Here is a 25,702-nt window from a genome sequence, read left to right on the forward strand (position 1 = left end):
GTCCTTTTCAGCAATATGGATGCATCTGGAGGCCACCATTCTAAGTGAATTAACACAGAAAAAGAAAACCAAAATTTGCATGCTGTCACTTATAACTGGGAGCTAAATGCTGGATACACACAGACCTAAAGATAGTACAGGGGACTCTAAAAGGAGGGGGTAGGGCAAGGGCTGAAAAATGGGGAGCTAAATGCTGGGTACACACAGACATAAAGATAGAGATTGGGGACTCTAAAAGGAGGGTGTAGGCCAGGGATGGTGGCTCACGCCTATAATCCCAGTATTTTGGGAGGCCAACTTGGGTGGATCACCTGAGATCAGGAGTTCGAGACCAGCCTGGCCAACATGGCAAAACCTTGTCTCTACTAAAAATGTAAATATTAGCTGGGCGTGGTGGTGTGCGCTTGTAGTCCCAGCTACTTGGGAGGCTGAGGCAGGAGAATCACTTGAACTCGGGAGGCGGAGGTTGCAGTGAGTTGAGATCACACCATTGCACTACAGCCTGGGCGACGGAGTGAGACTCCGTCTCAAAAAAAAAAAAAAAAAAAAGGGAGGGAGTAGGGCAAGGGCTGAAAAACTTCCTGTTGGGTATGTCTTCACTATCTGGGTCATGGAATCACTAGAAGTGGAACCTCAGCATCATGCAATATACCCTGTAACAAACATGCACATGTACCTCTTGAATCTAAAATGAAAATAAACATTTTTAGAAAAGAAGAACTGGAAGTATTTAACCCAGAGAAAACAGTACTTGGTCTGGACATGGGCTAAATATTCCCAGCAATTTGAAACACAACTTACAGTCACTCTTTAAAAAACGCAAGTAGAATATATTGTCTGTAATGCTTTGTAATCTACTTTTTGTCTTAACTCTTTCGATGAATTTATACTCTTGGAAATATGCACATTATTAAGTTATTTTTCCCCCATTATTTGGTAAGGTACATTTAGCCTTTCATTTTTTTCTTCACTCTACTCTAGTGCTCACCATATTAAATAGTGCTATATTGTTAATTCAGATTCAAAGAATGCATACAATTTCAGGGACACTGTATTTTTGAACTTACTTACCTAAATTGTGATGTATTCACAATTAAAATAGTTAATATCATAAAACACACACTATCTCTTTGATATATGGGATATTAAATCATGTTACTGTGGTCGTTTATTTATTAGCTACCCAGTGCTTTTCCATTTTGCTATGTACATTATTTCTCAAATATCCCTGGTTAAAGCAGCCATAATTGTGCTAAACTGTATTTGATAATTAAAGCATCTGGGAAACATCTTAATGAAAGCTCAAAACTCCCTTTGTACTAGAAAATTTGCACTCTCTAAGGCCTAATAAGCGTGGTTAAGAATACCTGTGATGCCAAAACTCTGAAAAGTACTCAAAACCCCTGTGCCATCAACTAATAGGATATTGTAACTTTAGAGAAAAAAAGTAAAGACTACTTGAAAGTGATCAAAATAGAGGTTATTTTCAGCAGTGCAAAAAATAATTTAATAGACACAGAAAGCTGGTTTTCTGAAAATGACTTTGCTTTAGGTGTAATAGGAAAGCTATAAAGCATATCATTGGAAAAAACTATACTAGAATTATAGTTAAATTTCATAATCATGCATAGTCATATAGAAACAATAAAACAAAGTTAAATTGCCCAAAGTCATCTTAAATATTTATTACATTTATGACTAATTTATAATACTGTATTCAGAGAACTGTTATGATTTCCATTTTTAATAAGAATTTTCCTTTCTCTTCCCAGACAGTCCCACTTGGTTAGCTATATTTTCATGAAGCTTATTACAGCGTTTTCTTTTAAAGATGGAACACTTTACATAATTTTTCAACATATCAAACTCTTTTAAAGCATGGTTCAAAGTATTTATAATGAAAGGACACAAAAGCATATTTCTTGTGGTTTGTTAAGCACATTTACTTTCATTAGAGCTACCTAAAAGTATCATTACATTTTCCAGAAAAGCATTTTCAAAAAAAGCTTTGATATTTATAAATGTTCATACATTTTGGTGTAAAATTATACAAGTAGATTTTGGAAATAGTCCAGGAAAAACTAATTTTCATGTTCTTTTATAAATCATAAGTGAATTATCTTTTATTTGGTATCATCTTATGTCAATCAAATGCTAGACTGTCCATAATGAAGCCCAAGACTCAAAAGCTTAAAATGATTTTAACCTATTCTAAACAAAAGGCTTACATAAGTTCTCTAAGTTGTAAACCTCTGTCTCTATAAATTTGATTCAGAAATCATGATACAGATTTTTTGGTACAGTTGACCCTCGAATAACACAGGTTTGGACTGCATGGCTTGCGTGGGTCCACTTATACGGGATTCCTTTTCATCCAAATGCAGATGAAAAATACAGTATTCTAGGGATGTACACCCACATATATGGACGGTTGACTTTTGCTATACAGAAGTTCTGCAGGGCTGACTGTGGGCTTGAGCGTGCTCAGATTTTGTTACACATAGGGGTCCTGGAACCCATCCCTCGTTTATATGGAGGGATGGCTCTACTTCTAAACTGTGGCATTGCAGAGAAATTCAGACATGTTAAATGAAGTTCAGCTTTATTGTGGCTGTAACCATTGAAATTTGTCCTAAAGGTGGAGTTGGAGTTGACTCCTGGATGTAGGAGAGAGAACACCTAGGCAGAGGGAATAGTATGTCAAAGCACATGCTTAGAGAAGAGTTAGAATTTTGTTTTAGCTGAATTGCAGATTTTATCTGTTAGGTAGAATGGGATAAAATGAGGTTGGATAAGCAGGTTGGGGACAGATTTTAAAGTGTTTACTGTTTACTCATGGCAAGGATTCTGTGCCCATGGAAAGGCTTTTTTTCTTCTGACTTTTTAGAAGAGGCATTACATGCTCAATTTTTACTCAAAGAAGGTAACTCAAGCAATGGTACTGACAGTGAAGATTAGAGGTAGGAAAGACTGAAGATAGGATATTGGGAGATTTTGATGAGACTGATTATCTTACTCATTAATTTATTCAACATACATCAGAGCACGCATTATGTGTCAGGTGTCTGCTAGCTGGTGGAGATTACAACGGAGAATAAAATAGGAATGTTTCGAGCCTAATGAATGAGAATATCCATGAGAACTTATACTTGCTTTGCAGCCACATCAAATGCCAAGTCTTCCTTTAAGCAACATCCTTCCCCAGTTGGGATTAATTGCTCCTTATTTTGTGTTTCCAAAATAAAATAAGGGCTTGGTTTATGCTTCTGTTACAGGATGTTTTACATCATATTTGAGCCTATTTTATAGACAGATACACACACACACACACACACACACACACACACACACACACACACGTGTCTTTCTTGTCAACTAAATTGATCTCCTGGGTAACAAGAATTACATCATATTTATTCTTGCAGTTACCTAACACAGAGGAGGTATAACATGAAAATTGGTTAGAATTCTTTGCCATCAGTTTCCTGTTTGGGGCTCTCACACTGATCAGTGTGAGACAAATTTAATTTAAAGAACTAAATAAATAAATTTAGTTCTTTAAAAGTTGATATTCAAGTTTTGTTTCTATTACTATGTCCCACTTCCATAAGTGTATGACATTTTGCAGCAGTTTTAAATTATTTGTATATAAGCTACAAATTTTGAGGACTAGCATCATTAATTTACAAGTTTACAAGTGTTTTGAAGTCCAGGGCAAAAAAGGTTATATTGACTTTAGCCTAAGCTAAAATCATTTTTACAACACTAACAATTACTTTTGATAAATTGTTACTAATCTTATATTTTAAGTTTTGATATGGTAAAAATATTACAAATATATCATGTTATTATTGACAAAAATACTGTTAAAGTTACTATAAATTTTCTCTAAATATGATGACAAATGCTGTGGCTGATATTTTGCAATGTTATGTCCTATAGATCCATACTCCTTTCTAATTTTCGGAGTTAATTGCTCTTCGTCTGCATCACACTATTATGCTAGTGTTTTTTGAGCTGTAGATGTGATAATGAATGGCTAAAAGGGAGAATTGCTCATTTTATTTTTATTTTTATTTTTTTGAGACGGAGTCTTGCTCTATCACCCAGGCTGGAGTACAGTGGTGCGATCTCGGCTCACTGCAACCTCCGCCTCCCGGGCTCATGTGATTCTCCTGCCTCAGCCTCCTGAGTAGCTGAGACTACAGGCGTGTGCCACTACACCTGGCTAATTTTTGTATTTTTAGTAGAGATGGGGTTTTGACATGCTGGCCAGGCTGTTCTCGAACTTCTGACCTCAAGTGATCTGCCTGCCTTGACCTCCCAAAGTGCTGGGATTACAGGTGTGAGCCAACATGCCCGGCCAGCTCATTTTAAAAGCTGAGAAAGAATGGTTTGAGAGAACCAAGATGATTATAGAAGGACATAGAATCTGTACAGACATAAGTTGCTCCTGTCCATGTCCCTGTCTTTGTCATCCAGTCGGAATGAGAACAACCAAAATATTTTCCCCAAATATCACTCTTTTGGTCTGGTTGCATGAGACTTCTAATAAATCTGCCTAAAAAATTGTGTGACCTCAACATAGTTGAAAAATGTTCTAAACTTTTAAATTGGGGTTTCAGAATCTAGATTTATTTATTAATTTTTTTAAAGATGGAGTCTCACTCTGTTGCCCAGGCTGGAATGCAGTGGCGTGATCTCAGCTCACTGCAGCCTCCGCCTCCTGGCTGCAAGTGATTCTTCTGCGTCAGCCTCCCGAGTAGCTGGGATTACAGGGACGCATCACCACGCCCAGCTAATTTTTGTATTTTTAGTAGAGACAGGGTTTCACCACGTTGGCCAGGCTGGTCTTGAACTCCTGACCTCAGGTGATCCACCTGCCTCAGCCTCCCAAAGTGCTGGGATTACAGGAGTGAGCCACCGCGCCCAACCTGGCTTGCTTTTCTATTTAAAGCAAATAAATCATGTCAAAATTACATTGAATGGGACAGTGATTAGATTTCTTCCCTTTGGCTGCTGCTGGAAGTGGAACCGATCTTGGGTAAGGGAGGAGGGAGGAACAGGGAGTGGAATAGTCATCTCTTGAAAATAGAGATTTCAATGTGCGATTAATCTTGTAAGGCGACTTAGTTTGGGATTCCCAGAAGCAGATTCTGAGATGAAGATTCTTGAGCGAGTGATTTATTATTGAAGTCTTCCCCAGAGAAATTAGTAAGGGAAGCAAGACTGGTAAGGAGAAAAGAAGCCGAGCAAGGCTGCAATATCAAGGAAAGTCCCTTTAAGGGTAGCAAACATCCCGGAGAAAGTCTTAGGTAAGAGTTTTGGAGGCGAAAGCATGACTCAATTGGGAGAGGGCTGCTCAAAAAGGATTTTTTAAAAATCTGAGAGGATTTAGGCAAAGCAGTGACTGTGTCTGTTACACAACGTTTCAGAAAGTTTTTCTTTGCGAGGCATGTCAAAGTAAAGAGATGATAGATTCTTGCATAAACCGGTTCTAAATGAAGAGATTATTTTCAATGACTAAGATCTAAGTTGAGGCCACTGGACTAAGCTTTGGAGTTACCACAAAAAATGAGAATTGGAGCTTGAAGATGATGCAACTTATGGCTGTGTAGGGACTGAAAAAGCTAAGGTCTGAATGAGGAAGCTGCATTTTTTATTAAAAGAGATGAAAGAAACATGAGAGAATTACACTGATTATTAGGAAACTGTGCATGAGTAAATTACAGTGACAGATTAATTGAGACTGAAAGGCTTAGAAGATAAATAATCTAAATTAGTGGAAGGTTAGAATAAGGATGGATCTTTTTCTGAATTGAATGTTTTATATGTTTTATTTGTATGAAACACAAATTAAAATTAAAATACTATCAACATTATTTAACTGCCCAGCAAAGTCAATATTACATCTAAGTGAAGAAAGTGTTCTCAGAGAGGTTTCATTTTAAAGAACGACACTTGAGAGTGGCTAGACAGTCTCTGTGGAAAAGGTGGAAGAGAAAATCATGTGCTGTTTTTTGCCAAGTATGTGTGTAGGTCATGCACAGGGATGCAGACATCTGGCTGAGATCCCTGTGCATGAGTCAGTTAATACTAGGTCGCTGAAGACAAAATAACTAATGCAAATTGTAGGCTTGCTATATATTTTTTTCAGTGTCATATACACAAAGAAGCACCATGGATTCTGGGAGAAACAGTCTCAAAAGCATCTCAAGGAAGCCTCTCCAATACAAGCATTGGGATTACATATGTCTATTTCATGTAAAATAATGTTAGGGAGATAGCAATAGCAGATGGAGTAGATAATGTGTCTTGGCTTATTGATTTTGGACAAAAAATGTTTAAAAATTCATCTTAGACTGGCAGTATATTGTCAATGCCTCTAAACTACTTTGTGCTATGTGAGTGAGTAATGCTGGCAAATATCTGTAATTTAAGTGTTTTATTCCAATTTCGACATGATTTTTATGCCAGAGAGCTTTATGGGTAAGAAGCCTTTTAAAACTATTTCCCTCATGAACTCTAATTTTCTTTTGGAATACATCATCTCATTAATTAAGAGGTTGAAGTCTCATTACTTCATGTCTGTCTTCACGGGATTATGTAAACAGCAACCCTGTCATTACCAAATCATATGCTATTTTTATTTTTCTAAAGATCTAGAGCTCACAGTCATTATTTAAATAGAACATTACAGAAAAGAAAAAGGAATTTGAAGCGGCCTATTCTTAGCTATGTATTGAATAGATCTATTTTTCTATTAGTGTCTGTTTCAATTTATCTTTCTTGGTTTTGGTCATAGTTCAGTAATATTCAAGAGAGAGTATTATATGGTAGCTAATGTGATATAGAAGACCCATTCCTTACATTGCCATATTTATCAGCCAAAAAAAAAAAAAAAAACTACTTCCCTTAGAAATACATTATAAATTAAAATAACAGATAACATGGGCTGTTTTTGACAGGAATATATTTTAGCTTCTGATAATTAGCTTTAGTAATCATTAGCTTAGTTAATGAAAAATAAAATACTTATAATATTAAAAATATGAGAAGCTAAACTATGAGCAACTAACAAATCAAAACCACGTTCTTCTGAATTCCTGACTCCCCCGCAAATAGTTCCAAATCACTATAGTATTCACATAGCCCTATAATAACCTTTGTGGATAAACAGTGAATTCCATGTTCAATGTAAAATAACACAGAAATTTAGAGTTTTAATTGCAATGTCCTATGTAAACTTTAAAAGTTTCCAAAGCAATTTTCATAAATGGGATTCCATTTTCCACAGCCAAAATACTATACTGACACTGACCCTCATGAACTGTTACCTATGCATTTGTGTGCCATTTACTTTTAATTACAAAATTTCTCCCCTTGATTAAATTTATTGTATGCCTTGCAATATATCAAAATGATAGATTAAATGTATAAATAAATTATTATTTATAACAAAATTGAAGCTTGTCCTTGGAATCATTTTCTTGTAGTTCCATGTAGCTAAAATGGGGCTTTGATTTCAACCTTGCCCCTGATGAGCTGTGTGATGAAATCTTAGGCAAGTTACTCAACCTAAGCCTCAGTTTCCTCATCTGCAAATCAGGGAAAATAATACATGCTTTAGACTATTATTTTGAGAATTAAATGAAATCATGTATACAAATTGTCAAACAGGGCACAGCATACTCAGTACCTTATCATTGTTTAGTGTTGTTATTTTGTATCTACAGTGTTTTTGGAAAATAGCATGATTAATCAATTGACTGGAAGACACACAGTCTAACAGACAATATATAGACCATTTATATTGGCCATGAAAGTGTCCATAATGGCTGACTTAACTGGCTTTAATGTGTAAAATATGGTGACTCCCATGGTTTTTAAGATATGGCTTAAAGTAGATATCAATTTCTTTACATTGGTCAACTATAATTTGTCCATAGGTTGCACATGTAGTAAGTAATATTTTGAGATATTAACTGTGGGGTTTTTTTCCCTCCCTCCGCTTCCTTGCATTTGTTACCTTTTACTGACCATTTAGGTAACAGTGCCTAGCAGGCCCGGATCAGGACAGATACTACTGAGAATTCAGAAGTAATTTGTTTGCTTTGAGTTTCATATGAGGCCTTTTAAAAAGTCCACAGTAGAAACAGTATTCTTGAAATTATAGCTTTCCTTTGCAGAAGACTCAGTATTTTGAGAGTTGACATTTTGCTGAGCCATTAAAAGCACTGAGAACCTTGGAAGAATCCATTTATACTGAAATCAAGGAGTGGGGAAGAATGCATGGATAGAATAACAGGTCCCAAAGAGATAAAATTTGACCAGCATTCAGACAGATAATGAACTAGGGCTAGAAGAGGTCTTGTGATTGGACAATGAAGCTGACCGCATTGACTAAACAATTGCAGGTATAGCACAGACTCACGATGATCCTAAGCACCAGGAAGAATGGATTATTAGATCTCTGCAGAGGCCAGTGAGATCAGAAAATGACATTTGGTGCAGAGCAGTGTCCCTGATGACACAACAAGTCCACCAGGTACTTAGAACACTTCCATGCAGAAAAAAAACGAAGAAGAGGAGAATTTTGAACTGAATATTTACCTCAAAGAGACTGAGCTTTAAAACAGAAGCATGTGTGTGAAACGCCACTAAGCAAAAGAGCTCATATTCTAAGCTAGGTTCAATTATACAGAACTAAAATTAAAAATAACTTCAATTTTCTAATATTAGAGTTTATGATTGTGTTGAAATATCATATCCACTAAATCATCAGGCTTTGGATACCTCAAATTTTAGTTCTTAATTAATCTGAAATTCTCTATTATCTGAAATAGTTTCCAAGATAAGAAAGAACAGAGATATAGACCAATGGAACAGAACAGAGCCCTCAGAAATAATGCCGCATATCTACAACTATCTGATCTTTGACAAACCTGGCAAAAACAAGAAATGAGGAAAGGATTCCCTATTTAATAAATGGTGCTGGGAAAACTGCCTAGCCATATGTAGAAAGCTGAAACTGGATCCCATCCTTACACCTTATACAAAAACTAATTCAAGATGGATTAAAGACTTAAACATTAGATCTAAAACCATAAAAACCCTAGAAGAAAACCTGGGCAATACCATTCAGGACATAGGCATGGGCAAGGACTTCATGTCTAAAACACCAAAAGCAATGGCAACAAAAGCCAAAATTGACAAATGGGATCTAATTAAACTAAAGAGCTTCTGCACAGCAAAATAAACCACCATCAGAGTGAACAGGCAACCTACAGAATGGGAGAAAATTTTTGCAATCTACTCATCTGACAAAGGGCTAATATCCAGAATCTACAATGAACCCCAACAAATTTATAAGAAAAAAACAAACAACCCCATTGAAAAGTGGGCAAAGGATATGAACAGACACTTCTCAAAAGAAGACATTTATGCAGCCAAAAGATACATGAAAAAATGCTCATCATCACTGGCCATCAGAGAAATGCAAATCAAAACCACAATGAGATACCATCTCACACCAGTTAGAATGGCAATCATTAAAAAGTCAGGAAGCAACAGGTGCTGGAGAGGATGTGGAGAAATAGGAACACTTTTACACTGTTGGTGGGACTGTAAACTAGTTCAACCATTGTGGAAGTCAGTGTGGCGATTCCTCAGGGATCTAGAACTAGAAATATCATTTGACCCAGCCATCCCATTACTGGGTATATACCCAAAGGATTATAAAACATGCTGCTATAAAGACACATGCACACGTATGTTTATTGCGGCACTATTCACAATAGCAAAGACTTGGAACCAACCCAAATGTCCAACAATGATAGACTGGATTAAGAAAATGTGGCACATATACACCATGGAATACTATGCAGCCATAAAAAATGATGAGTTCATGTCCTTTGTAGGGACATGGATGAAGCTGGAAGCCATCATTCTCAGCAAACTATTGCAAGGACAAAAAACCAAACACCGCGTGTTCTCACTCCTAGGTGGGAATTGAACAATGAGAACACATGGACACAGGAAGGGGAACATCACACACTGGGGCCTGTTGTGGGGTGGGGAGAGTGGGGAGGGATAGTATTAGGAGATATACCTAATACTAAATGATGAGTTAATGGGTGCAGCACACCAACATGGCACATGTATACATGTGTAACAAACCTGCACATTGTGCACATGTACCCTAAAAATTAAAGTATAATAAAAAAAGAAAGAACAAGGAGAAAAAGTTTCTTTTTCAAAGAATTTTTGACTGTCATAAAATGTAAAATAGGTATATGTATTAAGGATATTTTAGAAAACTACATTAAAACTTACTTTTAAAAATAGAGCACATTATCTTAAGCAGATTACAGCTATTTTCTTCATATCTGAATTTAAAAACAAGTTTTTGAATCTATAACTCAAGGTGTTATCATTTACAAATATTTTGAATCTCAATATAAACTTTAAAACACTTTAGAAAACTATAATTTTTTATAAGCGATAACTACACTTAGAAAATATAATAACTTTTTAATATGCAAGTTACATTAAAATATACTTATATAATCAGCATTTGGTTCTGGCTTATCTCCAGCCGAGTATAGTGTGTACTCCCCACAATCTGTAGGTTTCACCATTTTCACTGTAGCTTTGTTTCTGAGTCATGGACCAAAGCTGATTGTGTTACAGGATAAGCTGTTTGAAGTGTAAGCCACATTAAGCCATGCTAAGCCACAATAAAACTATTACTGTTAGACATAATAAGATTATTAATATCAGGTTTTATATCAGCTCCACTTACTGAATTTTAGCACATAGAAAGGTAAGGAGAAAATGGATTTTAAATATTTTTTGATGCTGTTTGAAATTATTTAATCCTACAAATGAATATTTTAAAACCATATCTTCCTATTTGTTTTTGTTTCTAAGTATTTGACTCAATGGAACCATGAAAAGGAGGAGCACGTTTATCTTGAAAGGGACAAGTTAACATTTGATTTATTGACATTTTGCCTTTCAGTGAGAAAAAATATGTTAGTCTATAGTGAGTAATACTCTTAAGAGTTACATGATGTTATAACTTTAATTTAGTCACAGAATACGAATAATTTATAGAAAGTGAACAAAATATTTTATTCATCGTATCACTCAAAATATGTTATTTTATAACAAAGAAAAATGATTGTTACCTTCTGGATAAAAGAGAAAATGGAGTAAAATATTTGAAGCATTGAACATACAAAAACATTATTATAAATATCAATATTTATGGGCTACTGTGAAGGCAGCTGTAAAAAAACAAGTTCCAATAAAAAGTTCGAAACAGGCCGGGCGCGGTGGCTCACGCCTGTAATCCCAGCACTTTGGGAGGCCGAGGCGGGTGGATCATGAGGTCAGGAGATCGAGACCATCCTGGCTAACAAGGTGAAACCCCGTCTCTACTAAAAATACAAAAAATTAGCCGGGCGCGGTGGCGGGCGCCTGTGGTCCCAGCTACTCGGGAGGCTGAGGCAGGAGAATGGCGTGAACCCAGGAAGCGGAGCTTGCAGTGAGCCGAGACTGCGCCACTGCAGTCCGCAGTCCGGCCTGGGCGACAGAGCGAGACTCCGTCTCAAAAAAAAAAAAAAAAAAAAAGTTCGAAACAGACAAACATTTTAAAAATCTTAACAATTTAAATCAGTGAAAATTCGAGTGTTTTTTCCCTTCTAAATTTTTACTTCATAGGGTAGTGAATGCAACATAAACAGGTATTCATGAGTATAATACATTTTACACACTCCAAATAGTCACAGAGACTCTTGCATTATTTTCCCGTAGACATTCCTATTGTCTGTCTACTGCTATCAAGTGTAGGGTTAGAAGGCATTTTAACAAATCGATGACTGATTTAAAAAAAACAACAACCGAAGACATCTGTCATTAAGACAGGTCTCTAATAGTGGATGCTTGTTATTAAGAATCCAAAAGATTTTCTTAATGTTCTGTCCAGTAATTTTTGTTGTCATGGTCTGTGTTCCACATTGCCCTATGGCAATGTTACTCTTGCATTCCAATGCATTTTCTTAATTCGGCTGCAGTTTTTTCCAATTGTTGAATGTTCCATTGCCACTGTCGTCTATTTGACTGAAGCTTGTTCACCTGACAATGCAAACGCTTAAGAATTGCATCATACCTCTTATGTTGTACCTATCAAAAGAAGAGCACACATCAACAGGGCTTGTGAAGTATAAATAGTAAACAGCCATAAATAATATTTTGACTACTCTAAAGAGGGAAGCACTTAATTAGAAACTATCCACTATAAATAATTATGATAAAAATAAACAGTAATTGTAAAACTGTTTATTCAACACTTATTACATGTTAGATACTGTGCTGAGAGCTTTCTGCATATAATTAAATTCTTATAACACCTTATGATATGGGTATTATTATCCTCATTTTTGTGTGAAGAAACCAAAGATAAAAGAGTTCAAGTAATTTGACCAAAGTTTCATAGCTAGCAAGTGATGGAGTTTGGGAGGTTAGCAGAAGTGAAATATCCATAATGGAATACCTTCTTGTTAAGAGAGTTACCGGTGTTAAACTAAATTTGCCCTGGGGGACTCTACTTTGAGTCCCTATGTAAGGAACTACAATCTAACAGTATTTAAACTAACTAAAAGCCTAACTAGGAGTATATTTTTGTAACAATAGCTGAGACTCAGTCGACCACAGCAGCCAGCTTTGGTCAATCACAGGTGGTCCGCTGACTATACCATATTCAAATAAAACAGACATTGAGCCATTGAGAGCAATCAAGCCCTTTCTGCTCCTCATTTCCATTTTCTGTCCATAAATGTTGCCTGCCCACTTTGTGAAGTGGAGCTCTCTGAACCTCTGCTGGTTCTGAGGGCTGCTGCTTCTCTAATCATTCTTCTATTAAGCTCTGTTAAATTTAATTTTATTAAATTTAAATTTGTCTAAAGTTTTATATTTATCAAATTTAATTTGTCTAAAGTTTTTCTTTTAACATCAGTTAAGAAAAATGGTTCCATTTCCCATTTCCTGTATACAGTGATTCACTGAAACACAGATCATTTGGTCTAAAAGATCCAGGAGATCATGTAGTCCATTTCCCCGCTATTAAATAAACCATCATTTATGCTGAGCCAGACGAGGATACACTGGAAGGCAATGAAGCATAGTGGAAAGTGCTTCATTGGTCTTCGTGTCGGGCCACAAGAACACCCAATCTTCTTAAAAAACAGCTTTACAGAAATATAATTCACATACCATATAATCCATCCTTTAAAGTGTACAACTCAAGGGCCTTTAGTATATTCATAGAGTTGTACCAACTCTATGAAGTTACCAACCACAGGTTCTTAGGCTCTCATTTAATAGAAATTGACACAAGGCTGAGCAAGTTTCCCAAACAAGGCTTTTATTGGGGGCTTATGTTTGAACACAATGGAGACAGTGCAGGAGCAAGAGTTAGCTGGCTGGCTTTCTGAGGGCAGGTCTTTGTGGTGTTTCTAGGAAAGGTGACAGGAATGTGCATGAGGTATGGAAGTGTCATTACATGTGCCGGGTGGAGCACAGGGTGTGCAGGCACAATGAGAAATCATGCTAGCGCATACATTGCATGATCAAAATATGATGGATAAGCTCTTCCCTGGGTGAGAATTTCAGTATTATAATGAGGGATAGGGTAAAGATCAGTCATTCTTCTGGTCTTGTGCACATGCCTGCAATAAGGTTAACTCCCTTGAGTAAGATTTACAGTGGGATGCTGCTTATCTCCGTTTCAAGAGATATCTTGTGGTCAGCAAGGATGACTCCAGTGGATGGGTGGTGCAAGGTCTGGTAATGGGCGGGTATGGAAAAAATGTATTAGTAGGGGTGGAGGCCAAATCATGGTGAGGGCTAAATTCCATTCCTACTCTGTTTCACGAATATCACCACAATCAATTTTAAAACATTTTCACCACCTGGTACCCATTAGCAGTCATTCCCCATTCCCCTGTCCCCACACTTAACCCTCGGCAACCATGAATCTAGTTTCTCCTTGTATACATTTGCCTATTCTGGACATTTTATATAAATGGAATTGTACAATAGGTGGTCTTTTGTGACTGGCTTCTTTCACTTAGCATAATGGCTTTTAAAGGGTCTATGGCATACCATGTAACAGAACTTAATTACTTTGTATTGCCAAATAATAGCACATTATATGATATACCACATTTTATTTATCCAGTTCATGAGTTGATGAACATTTGAGTTGGTTCCACTTTCTAGCTATTATAAATAATACTGCCATGAACATTTGTGTGCAAGATTTTGTGTGAATATATGTTTTCACTTCTCAGGTATACAGTGAGGAGTAGAATTACTGGGTCATGTGGTAACTCCATGTTTAACCATTTCAGGAACTGCTAAGCTGTTTTTCAAAACGACTGTATAATTTTACATTCCAGTGTAATTTTACACACCAGTAATGTGTGAGGGTTCCAATTTCTTCACATCCTTGAAAATACTTATTATCTATGTTTTTGGTCATGGCCACTGTTAAAAGAAAAACTTCAGCCAAATTAAATTTAAAGAGTTTAATTGAGCAATGAATGATTCGCAAACTGGACAGACCCCAGAATCAGAGCAGATTCAGAGACTCCAGGGGTGCCTCGTGGTCAGAAGAAATTTATAGACAAAAAAAGTAAATTTGAGGTACAGGAATTGGAAGTGAGGTCAGAAACAATGGGATTGGTTACATCTCTGTGTTTGCCTTATTTGAACACAGTTTGAACACTCAGCAGTCTATGAGTGGTTGAAGTATGGCCGCTGGGATTGTCCAACACTCAGCTGTTGTTACAGACACATACTCCTAAGTTAGGTTTTCCATCTTGTCTACCTATTGAGTTAGGTTGCAGTTCATCCACTAGGACTCAAATATAGATGTACAGAGTTCTTCCCAGGCCATATTTTGTTCGCTTTAACACCATGCTTGTGGAAGTGAAGTGGCCTCTCATTACAGTAAAACACCTACTTTTAAATGGACTGATAAAATGATAGAATAATAGGGCTGGACAAGTTATCTATTCACAGGTAGTATGTGTAGTATTCCATTATGTAAATATACCACAATTTATTTTTATTTTTATTTTTTACTATACTTTAAGTTTTAGGGTACATGTGCACAACATGCAGGTTTGTTACATATGTATACATGTGCCATGTTGGTTTGCTGCACCCATTAACTCTTCATTTAACATTAGGTATATCTCCTAATGCTATCCCTCCCCACTACCCCCACCCCACAACAGGCCCCGGTGCGTGATGTGATGTTCCCCTTCCTGTGTCCATGTGTTCTCATTGTTCAATTCCCACCTAGGAGTGAGAACATGCGGTGTTTGGTTTTTTGTCTTGCAACAGTTTGCTGAGAATGATGGTTTCCAGCTTCATCCATGTCCCTACAAAGGACATGAACTCATCATTTTTTATGGCTGCATAGTATTCCATGGTGTATATGTGCCACATTTTCTTAATCCAGTTTACAATTGTTGGACATTTGGGTGGGTTCCAAGTCTTTGCTATTGTGAATAGTGCTGCAATAAACATACATGTGCATGTGTCTTTATAGCAGCATGTTTTATAATCCTTTGGGTATATACCTAGTAATGGGATGGCTGGGTCAAATGGTATTTATAGTTCTAGATCCCTGAGGAATCACCACAATGACTTCCACAATGGTTTAACTAGTCTACAGTCCCACTAACAGTGTAAAAGTGTTCCTATTTCTCCACATCCTCTCCAGCACCTGTTCATCTCACTGGGGAGTGTCGGACAGTGGGTGCAGGACAGTGGGTGCAGTGCACCCATCACAATTTATTTTTCCATTCTCCTTTCTAGGGATATTTGTGATGTTTCTATTTAGGGGTTTTTGTCAATAAAGCTACTGTAAGAATTCATATACAAGCTTTACAACTTTTTTAAGGCATATTTTTTTCATTTTTCTTGAGTAAACACCTAGGTGGAGAATTGTTTGGACATACAGCAGGTATATGCTAACTTTTTAGGAAACTCTCAAACTGTTTTTCCAAAGCAGTTGCACTATTTTATAATCTCCCCAGTAGTGCATGATCTTAACAGTTGTTTCATGTCCTTAGCAACATTTGGTATTAATATTCATTGAAACTTTCATCATTCTAGGGGTAAAAAGGTGTGAATAGTATCTCATTGTGGTTTTGATTCACGTTTCCTTGGTGTTAAGGGTGTTATACATCTTTTCACGTGTTTATTGGTCATACTATGTCTTCTTTTGTTAAGTTCTGTTCAAATCTTTAGCCCATTTTTAAAAAAATGACTGTATGACTTTATTATAGGCTGATAGGATTTCTTTCTTTACGCATCCTGGATACAAGTCCTTTGTGCACATACATGTGTTGCAAATATTTTTACTTTTGTGATTCTGTCTTTTCATTTTCTTTTGTTGTTGTTGTTGAAGTGGGGAGGTCTCACTTTGTTGCCCAGGCTGTACTGCAGTGGCATGATCACAGATCACTACAGCCTCGACCTCCTGGACTCAAGTGATCCTCCCACCTCAGCCTCCTGAGTAGCTGGGACCACAGGTGTGCGCCATCACACTGACTAATTTTTTTATTTGTACAGACAAGATCTTACTGTATTACCCAGGCTGGTCTTCAACTCCTGGGCTCAAGACATCCTCCTGCCTTGGCCTCCCAAAGTGCTGGGATTATGGGCATGAGCCACTGTGCCCAGCCCTTTTCATTTTCTTAATGGTGTCTTTCAAAGAGTAGAAGTTTCAAAGTTTGAGGTCTAACATATCAATATTTTTCACTATGGTTAGCAAAGTTTGTGTACCAAGAAATCTTTGCTAACCCAACATAATGAAGATATCCTCCTATAGTTTCTTCTGGAAGCTTTAGAGTTTTAACTTTCACATTTAGATCTATGATCCATTTCAGATGAATTTTTGTGTTTGTTGTGAGGTGGAGATACAGGTTCATTGTTTCCTCACCGATATCCAGTTGTTTCAGTACCATTTGTTGATAAGACTTTCCTTTTTTTCATTGAATTGCCTTGAAAACTTTGTCAAATTGACAAAATATGATTAATTTCTGAACTCTATTCTGTTCCATTGGTCTATTTATTCTTTTACCAATACTACAGTTACTTCATAATTATAGCTTTATAATAAATCTTAATATTAGGTAGATTAGGTCCTACAAATTTATTCTTCTTTTATAAGGTTGTTTTGGCTACTAGATCCTTTGCGTTTTCACGTAAATTTTAAAATTAGCTTATCAATTCCTGGAAAAAATACTTAGTGGGAATTTTATGGAACAATGTTGAACCTATACATCATTTGAGGGGAAATTTGACACTAATAATATCGTGTTTTCTAAACTATGAACATAGGATATCATTCCATTTATTTAGTATCTTTAATTTCTCAGCAATTTTTATTGTAGTTTTGCACATTTTTTCACAAAATTCATTAGCAAGTATTTTATGTCATTTAGTGTTAATGAATAAAGTTTTGTTTTATTCATTTTACTTCCTCATTGTTTATTGCTACTACATAGAAACTACATAAACATGTAAGTGATTTTTGTATTTTGACCTTTTATCCTATGAGCTTTCTAAATTCACTTACTGGTTCTGTTAGTCTTTTCTATTTCTTAAGATTTTCTACATAAACAATTATGCTATCTGTGAATAATGACAGTTTTACTTTTTTCTTTCCAATCTTTATGCCTTATATTTACTTTTTTCTTATAACATTGATTAGGACCTCCAGAATAATGATGCATAAAGAAGGTGATATCAGACATCTCTGCCTTGTTCCCAGTCTTAGGGGAGAAAGCATTCAACATTTCACCAGTAAGTATGATATGTTGTTGGCTATAAGATTGTTTTTTTATAATAAATTCCCTTTATCAAGTTGATGAAGTTTCCTTCTATTCTTAATTTGCTGATATTACTCTCAGAAAATATGCTATTCTCATAAAATTTGTTGAGAGTGTTGAATTCTGTCTAATGCTGTTTCTGAAACTATGAAGTTGGTTATATCTTTTTTACTTCTGTCATTTTGTCACTATAGTAAATTACATCATTTGATGTTTGAAAGTTGAATCAGCCTTGTATTCTTAGGATAATCCCACTTGGTTATAATGTATTAGACTTTTGGTATATTGCTAAATTTAATTTGCAAGTATTTTGTTAGAGACTTGCATCTATACTCATGAGGGACATTGGTCTGTAATTTCTTCTCTGATAGGATTCCTATCAATTTTGTTTCTTTTTGTATCAGGGTTATGTTCACCTCCTAAAATGAGTTGGGAGGAGTTTCATCTTCTATTTTCTGAAACAGTCTGTTTACATTGGGCATTATTTTTTCCTTAAATATATGATTAGAATTCACTAATGAAAATGTGTCAGTTGGAGCCTTATATATGGGAAGAGTTTTTAAATATGAATTCAATTTCATTGATTCCTACCTCACACCATTCATAAAGCTTAATTTGAAATGGATCATAAGGCTAAACATGAATGCATTTTCTTCTTGTGTTATAGTATTTTTTTTTTTCAAGGAATTTGTCTGTTTGTCAAATTGGCATAAAGTTATTCATAATAGGCCTTCATCACCCTTTTAAGCCTACAGAACCTGGAGTAATGTCCCTACTAATCTCTCTCTTTTCTTGATCAGTATTGCTATGGGTTTCTCGATTTTATTACTCTTTTAAACTTTTGACTTTGTTGATTGTTTTCTCGTTTTTCTGTTTTCTATTTCATTGATTTCTGTTATCTATCATTTAATTCCTTCTATTTACTTTTTGCTGAATTTATTTTTCTAGTCTGTGATGGTGGAAGCTTAGATAGTTGATTTCAAATCTTTTTCTCTTTTCTATTATAGGCATTAAAAACTTAATTTTCCTGTAAACACTGCTTTAGCTTCACCCCATAATTTTCCATACGTTGTGTTTTCATTATCCTTCAATTTCAAATATATTCTAATTTTTCTCCTGATTTCTTCTTTGACTCATGGGTTATTTAGAAGTATGGTCAATTTCCAAAAGCTTATGTATTTTCTAGCTATCTCATTGTTATTGATTTCTAATGGAATTCTGCTGTGATAATAGAATTTCAACTTTGAAATATGTAATCTAGTATATGGTGTGTCTTGGTGAATATTTCATGTACACTTAAAGTGTAATCAGTAGTTGTTATGTGGAGTGCTTTATAAATGTTAATTAGGTTAAGTTGATGGATAAGTTCTTCAAATCTTCTATATGTTTACTGATATTCTGTATTGTTCTATCAATTACTCAAAAAAGTTAAGATATCTGATATGACTATAGATCTGTCTCTTTTTTTCTTTGGTTCTGTTTGTTTTTGCTCATGTATTTTGAAACTCTGTTATTATGTAAATGTACATGTAGAATTGTTATTCCTTCTTGGTGAATTGACTGACCCTGTTTAACTTGGTTAGTAGTTCTTACCTTGAAATCTACTTGATATTAACACAGCTACACCAGCTTTTTAAAGATTGGTGTATTCATCGTGTATCTTTTTCCTTTTTTTAACTTTCAAACTATGTGTGGCTTTATATTAAAAGTGCATCTCTTGTGAAGAGGTTATGCTTGCCACTTGATTTATTTTATTCAGTCTAATAATTTTTTCCCTTTTAATTGGAATGCTTAGCTCATTTACATTTAATGTAACTAATGATATTTTGGGGTTAAAGTCTACCATCATAATGTTTGTCTTCTATTAGTCCCTTTTGTCCTTTTACTTTCTTCTTCATTTTCTGTCTTCTTTTGGATTGAGTATTTTTTGTTGTTCCATTTCATTTCTTCCTTTGTCTTTCTAGCTATGCTTATATCTTTATGTATTTTTTAAGCTGCTCTAGGAATTTTAATATATTCTCTTAACTTATCACAATCTGTCTTCAATTAACATATCAGTACATGTAAAAATATAAGAACCTTACAACAAAAGGCTATTCTTGATATATATCTTACTCTACATGCTATAAAACCCAAAATCCATTATTGCTTTGATTTTAAAGTGTCAAATGACTTTTGAATTACTCAAAAAAAGACCCATCTCTTTATCTACATATTTTCCATTTCTAGTCCTTTCCAGTATCATTTCCTTTCAGCTTTAAAAACTTCCTTTAGGCTGGACATAGTGGCTCATGCCTGTAATCCCAGCACTTTGGGAGGCTGAGGCAGGTAGACCACCTGAAGTCAGGAGTACAAGACCAGCCTGGCCAGCATGGCAAAACCCCATCTCTACTAAAAATACAAAAAATTAGCAGGGCATGGTAATGCATGCCTATAGTCCCAGATACTGGGGAGGCTGAGGCAGGAGAATTGCTGGAGCCCGGGAGGCAGAGGCTGCAGTGAGCTGAGATCTTGCCACTGCACTCCAGTCTGGGCAAGAGCAAGACTCCATCTCTAAAAACAAAACAAAACAAAACAAAAGTTTCTTTTGCATTTTTTGTAGTGCAAGTCTACTGGGAACAAAGTCCACCAACTGTTGTTTATCAATACATTTTAAAAATTCAACTTATTTTTTTAGTTCTAAGATTTCCATTTGGTTGGTTTATGTGATTAAAATCCTCTCTCTTTACCCACAATATCAATCATTATACGCTTCTTTTAATTATAAAATGAAAAGGATGTTTGTATATCCACTATAAACATCCTGTAGAACGTTTAACATACTTATTATAGTTTTCCAGTCCTTGTCTAACAACTTCTGAGTCAACTGTTGCTATTTTTATTGGTTGATTCTACTCTTAGCTATGGATCATATTTTTCTTTTTTCTTTTTTTTTTGAGACGGAGTTTCACTATTGTCGCCCAGGCTGGAGTGCAACGGCACGATCTCAGCTCACTGCAACCTCCGCCTCCCAGGTTCAAGCAATTTTCCAGCCTCAGCCTCCTGAGTAGCTGGGATTACAGGTGCCCGCCACCACGCCCGGCTAATTTTTGTATTTTTAGTAAGACAGGGTTTCAACACGTTGGCCAGGCTGGTCTCAAACTCCTGACCTCCAGTGATCCGCCCACCTTGGACTCTCAAAGTGTTGGGATTACAGGCATGAGCCACTGCGCCCGGCCAATATATTTCTTTTTCCTCACATCGAGTAATGTTTTATTACTAACCATTGTGCACATGTTGAAAACTCTGAATTGTGTTACTTTCCTCTGAAAAGTGTTTTCTTCTAATAGTCAGTTAAATTACTGGTGGATCATCTTGAACTTGTGAGACTTTGTTTTATACTTTAAGTTAGAGTACATCTATTTCAATTTTGTCCTTAGATCTAGGTCTTGCCCTTAGTCCAGCTTTGTTTTAGTTCTTAGTTACAGATGTCTTTACTCCTAAAGTTTGGCAGTTGTGGGAATTGGGCAGTTGCTGTAGTGGGCAGATGCTGAAATCTCTACTCAGCTTATAAGCATTCTAATTGTTTCCCAACTGTGCTCCTTGGAATTTTATCCCTCGTGTGTGCAGTTTAAGTTACAGCCAAGTTTTTGAGGGCAGCTAATATGCAAATTTGGGGCTTCCAATAAGGAAAAATTCAACATTTACTCAACCAACCTCATGAAGGAGTAAGAATCCACAAGACAGTATAAAATTATTTCAACTATAAGATATTACTACTATTAGTTGTGTTCATAGTTACTGAGAGAAAGTATTACGTAACAGAAAGAGCACAGATTTTATCTCATGACCCAGTAATTCTACTTCTTGGTGCAAAGGGTTTGTTTATTATGTTTGCTACAACATTACTTTTAATAATGAAAAAACTGGAAAACACTTAAATGTTCACCAGTTGTAGCATGGCTAAATAAATTAAGGTATGGCCAAATTGTGAGATATTTTGCAGCAGTTAAAAATAATTACGTAGGCCAATTTGCACCAATATGAAAAATCTATGAGACAGATTGTTGAATAAGTAAATTAGTTGCAAAATGATACATATACTACATTTACATAATATTCTTCCACCCACAGGGGTTTGTGTTTGTGTGTACCATTAATAAGAGGTTTGTGTGTACCATTAATAAGAGGTGAGAGTAATGATAGAGAACAACATGTTAGAAGGTGGTATAAAAGGAACTACAGCCTTTCTTCTAACATTTTAATCTTTTTTAAGGAGAATGTATTCCTAAAAACAAAAACCATATTTAAAAAAAGAAGTGGGAAAATAGAGTCCAACAGGTTTGGATTCATATCCTACTCTGTCATTTATCATTAGCTATATAGCCTTGTGCAAGTTATTTAAATTTTCTAAAACTTTGTAAGACATGTTATTATGGGGAATTTAAATAGGATAGCCTATAAAAAGTGCCACAAAAATACCAGGCATTCAATAAATAATAATAGATTTAATAACATTGGACATTTCTTCTTATACTTTCTACAAAAGAGAATAATTAGTTACTATATTATCTTTGCATCTACCTGAATAATTCTTACTTTGCCTTCAGATCAGCTTTTTTCCCTTTGCTTCTCTGGGTTTTTCTTTTCCCTTTGTTGAGACAGGGTCTTGCTCTGTTGCCTAGGCTGGAGTGTAGTGACACAATCTCAGCTCATTGCAACCTCTTCCTCCCAGTCTCAAGCAATCCTTCCACCTCAGCCTCCTGAGTAGCTGAAAATACAGGCACACACCACCATGCACAGCTAATTTTTGTATTTTTAGTAGAGACAGTGTTTTGCCATGCTGTCCAGGCTGGTCTCAAACTCTTGGGCTCAAGTGATCCACCCACCTTGGCCTCCCAAAGTGCTGGGATTACAGGTATGAGCCACCGTGCCCAGGCTCTGGGTTTTTCTCATAGGACTGGCTTTCTAGTTGTGTAATCATTTCTGTTGCTGACCTCAATAAATGAATGCATTTGTTAATTATATAGCTGTGTATTACATCATACTAAATTAAATATGCTTTGTTCATCACTCTTAGCAGCTCTTAAAGTGTACACAATTTTCCCATATTCTTTTACATTTTAAACTCATGCTGTACAAAATTTAGGCAAGAGTAAGCCATCAATGCTTTACACAATGTCTGTTATGCCAAAGCATTGCTTGCAGCATTCATCATTTGCTAAAAACTTCTCAACTGCTCCAGTGTCCTTTGTCTGAAAACTCTTGGATTTGGAAATAACACTTTTTTTTTTTTTACCTTGAACTAGAAACCACTGATTGTTGCTCAATGTGTTATATTTGAAGCTTTGTGTTTGCCTGCCTTGTATTTTGCTTCCCCAGTTTTTTGTCAATGACTCATAGCTTATCTTTTTTCTCCACTCTATCTTTAGTTCCTTTCTTCCAAAATATAAGAAGACAGACAATAGATACTGGGGGGAAGGACATTTAGGGAATAAATATTTGAAAAGGCTCTTTTCATTCAGATATGGCCTAAAAATACTGAAAGCATTTACTTGACAGGAAAACACTGATATTCAAAAAAACATTTTTTATTTTTATGAACCAAAAAATGTAAAAGCAAGATTAATATGAGAACCAAAATATGTAAAACACAATATTTAAAATAATTAGAACAAAATAATGCTGTAGTCCAGGCAAAAGATGATTCTTGAACTGTAACAAGGCCATGGCTAAAGATATTCAGAAGAGATAGAAAAAAGACTCCAAAAAGAAGTAATAAAAATCTTTTGGTATTGGAATTCACCTTCTCTAAAAACTGGTTGTTTTGAGAAGAAGGTTACTCATATTAATGATCGATTCTCATCATGGAATAAATAAAATTATTCACAAAAATGTAACGTTTTAAGAAAATGGTCTGACTATATTGGTCCTTCAGCTTCATAATTTGTTGTGAAGAATCTTTAAGTTCTTAACTTTTCATTTTTTAACTGAATTGAGGACAACTTTTAAATGAATTAGAAGTAATAGAATTGAAATGAAAAAGTTCAAAAGAATCTTAACAGAGGGGTCCCTATTATGAAAACTTAAAAAGTTTATTAAATTTCATGACAAGAAGTTTTATGATGGAAACATCAAAAAACAGAAGTCTTAATCTCAGTAACATTTCCTCTAAATCTAACATTAGTGACCACTTACATCATCCTTTACCAATTTATACTACTGCTGGCAAGATGAAGTAGATATACTACAGTTACCTATTCTTCCTGATAAGTAGAACTAAAAGCTCTGGACATTTTATACAAAACAAACATTAGAAGCTCATGAAAGTTGGAGAGAAGAAGGCAAACTGTTTAGGGAACCTCAAGACCCAAGTAATGTCCTGGGTTTTCTTTTTTCCTCATATATCCCAGAGAGGATTCTGGAGAAGACAGCAATCTGGAAATGCCAAGAAATACAGACAAAAAGCCCTAAGAAAAATTTGTTCTATCTAGCCAAAAGATAAGGAAAATAGCAGCTTAGTGAGACAGAAAACTTGTAGGCAGTAACTGTTTTACTAAAGTCAAACACTACAGAAAAAACTATGGCCCCTCCAACACTCATGCCAGCAAGGGCTGGGTGGAAAGCCTAAATTTCTACCATTGCAAGGCTGTAATGAAGTGCCTAATCCCTCTGCTGGTGCACTCTCAGGGAAAGCTAACTAAGGAGCCAGGAGTTTTAACTGTGGAGCCAGGAGTTTTAATCCTCTCTAAGCAGCAAGAAACCATACACTGTGGTGTCGCTGGAGCCCATTTGAGGATCCTGGACTTCTCCGCCCATCAAGGTGTAATATTCCTCTCCTCCCTGATGTAACATCAAAGGAGCTCTGGTAGAGAGTCAGGACTTTCACCAGGACTCAGTAGTAACCAGGCTATGTCCTCGCAGTGTCACTGGAGGCCATGTTAGGAGTAGTAGCAAGGATTCCTTTTCCCTCCAACCCAGAATGATATTTGCAGAGGCCTACAGACTAGTCTTTCCCCCTTCCATGGGAAACAATGGAGTCAGTGGAGACTGGTAGGAGAATCTAGACCCCAATGGCCACCTGGAAATAGTGAAGATCTAGAATCTTAAAGCATAATACCCAACATGTCCACATTTCAATAAAAAATGGCTCATAACACCAAAAAATAAGATCTCAAACTGAGCAAGAAATCACAATCAACATGCACCACACGAACATAACACAGAAGTTAAAATTATCTGACAAGCATTTTAAAGCCTCTGTCATAAAAATGCTTCAATAAACAATTACAAACATGCCTGGAAAAAATGTAAAAAATAGAAAGTCTGAGCAAAGGAATATAAGATATAAGAAAGACTCAAATGGCAATTTAAGAACTAAAAGGTACAATAACCAAAGTGAAGAGTTCAGTGGAATTCAAGAGTGGATGGGAGAACAGATAAACTAATCAGTTAACTGAAAAATAGAAAGCTAAAGTTACTCAATCTGAACAAAAGGGAGAAAATAGATTGAAAATAGAAATAAATAGAACTTCAGGGGCTTATGAAACTATAACAAAAGATGTCATATCTTTCGTTATGGAAGGAGAGGAGAAAGAAGGCACAGATTTTTTAAAAAAGTATTCAAGTAACTGATGGCTGAAAAATCCTAAATTTGGCAAAAGATACAAAACTACAGAATTGAGAAGCTGAGAGAACTCCAAAAAGGATATATGCAAAGAAATCCATGCAAAAGCATGTCATAGTAAAACTTCTGAAAACAGAAGAATGTTTTTTCCCCAATCTCGCTCACTCTGCAGACAGAAAAT

At 35.7% G+C, this 25,702-nt stretch overlaps 1 protein-coding gene across 9 annotated transcripts in view; it reads right to left on the reverse strand.

Moving 5' to 3' along the window:
- CCDC122 (coiled-coil domain containing 122) overlaps positions 1-25,702 on the reverse strand; it is a 60,723-nt gene that overhangs the window by 6,223 nt on the left and 28,798 nt on the right. For 6 of the 9 annotated variants that reach the window (XM_024449327.2, XM_024449324.2, NM_144974.5 and 3 more), the window contains one exon: positions 11,112-12,189. The exons of 2 other annotated variants lie outside the window; for them this stretch is intronic. In XM_024449327.2, the coding sequence (XP_024305095.1) occupies positions 12,040-12,189 (150 nt within the window). In that variant the 3' untranslated portion in view covers positions 11,112-12,039. Of the gene's footprint in view, positions 1-11,111; positions 12,190-13,412; positions 13,849-25,702 lie in introns of those variants that run through there. One more of the 9 variants, XM_017020398.2, reaches the window with a different exon arrangement.

This window comes from Homo sapiens, chromosome 13 (assembly GCF_000001405.40).
Source record: "Homo sapiens chromosome 13, GRCh38.p14 Primary Assembly".
In the NCBI taxonomy this organism is placed as follows: domain Eukaryota; kingdom Metazoa; phylum Chordata; class Mammalia; order Primates; family Hominidae; genus Homo; species Homo sapiens.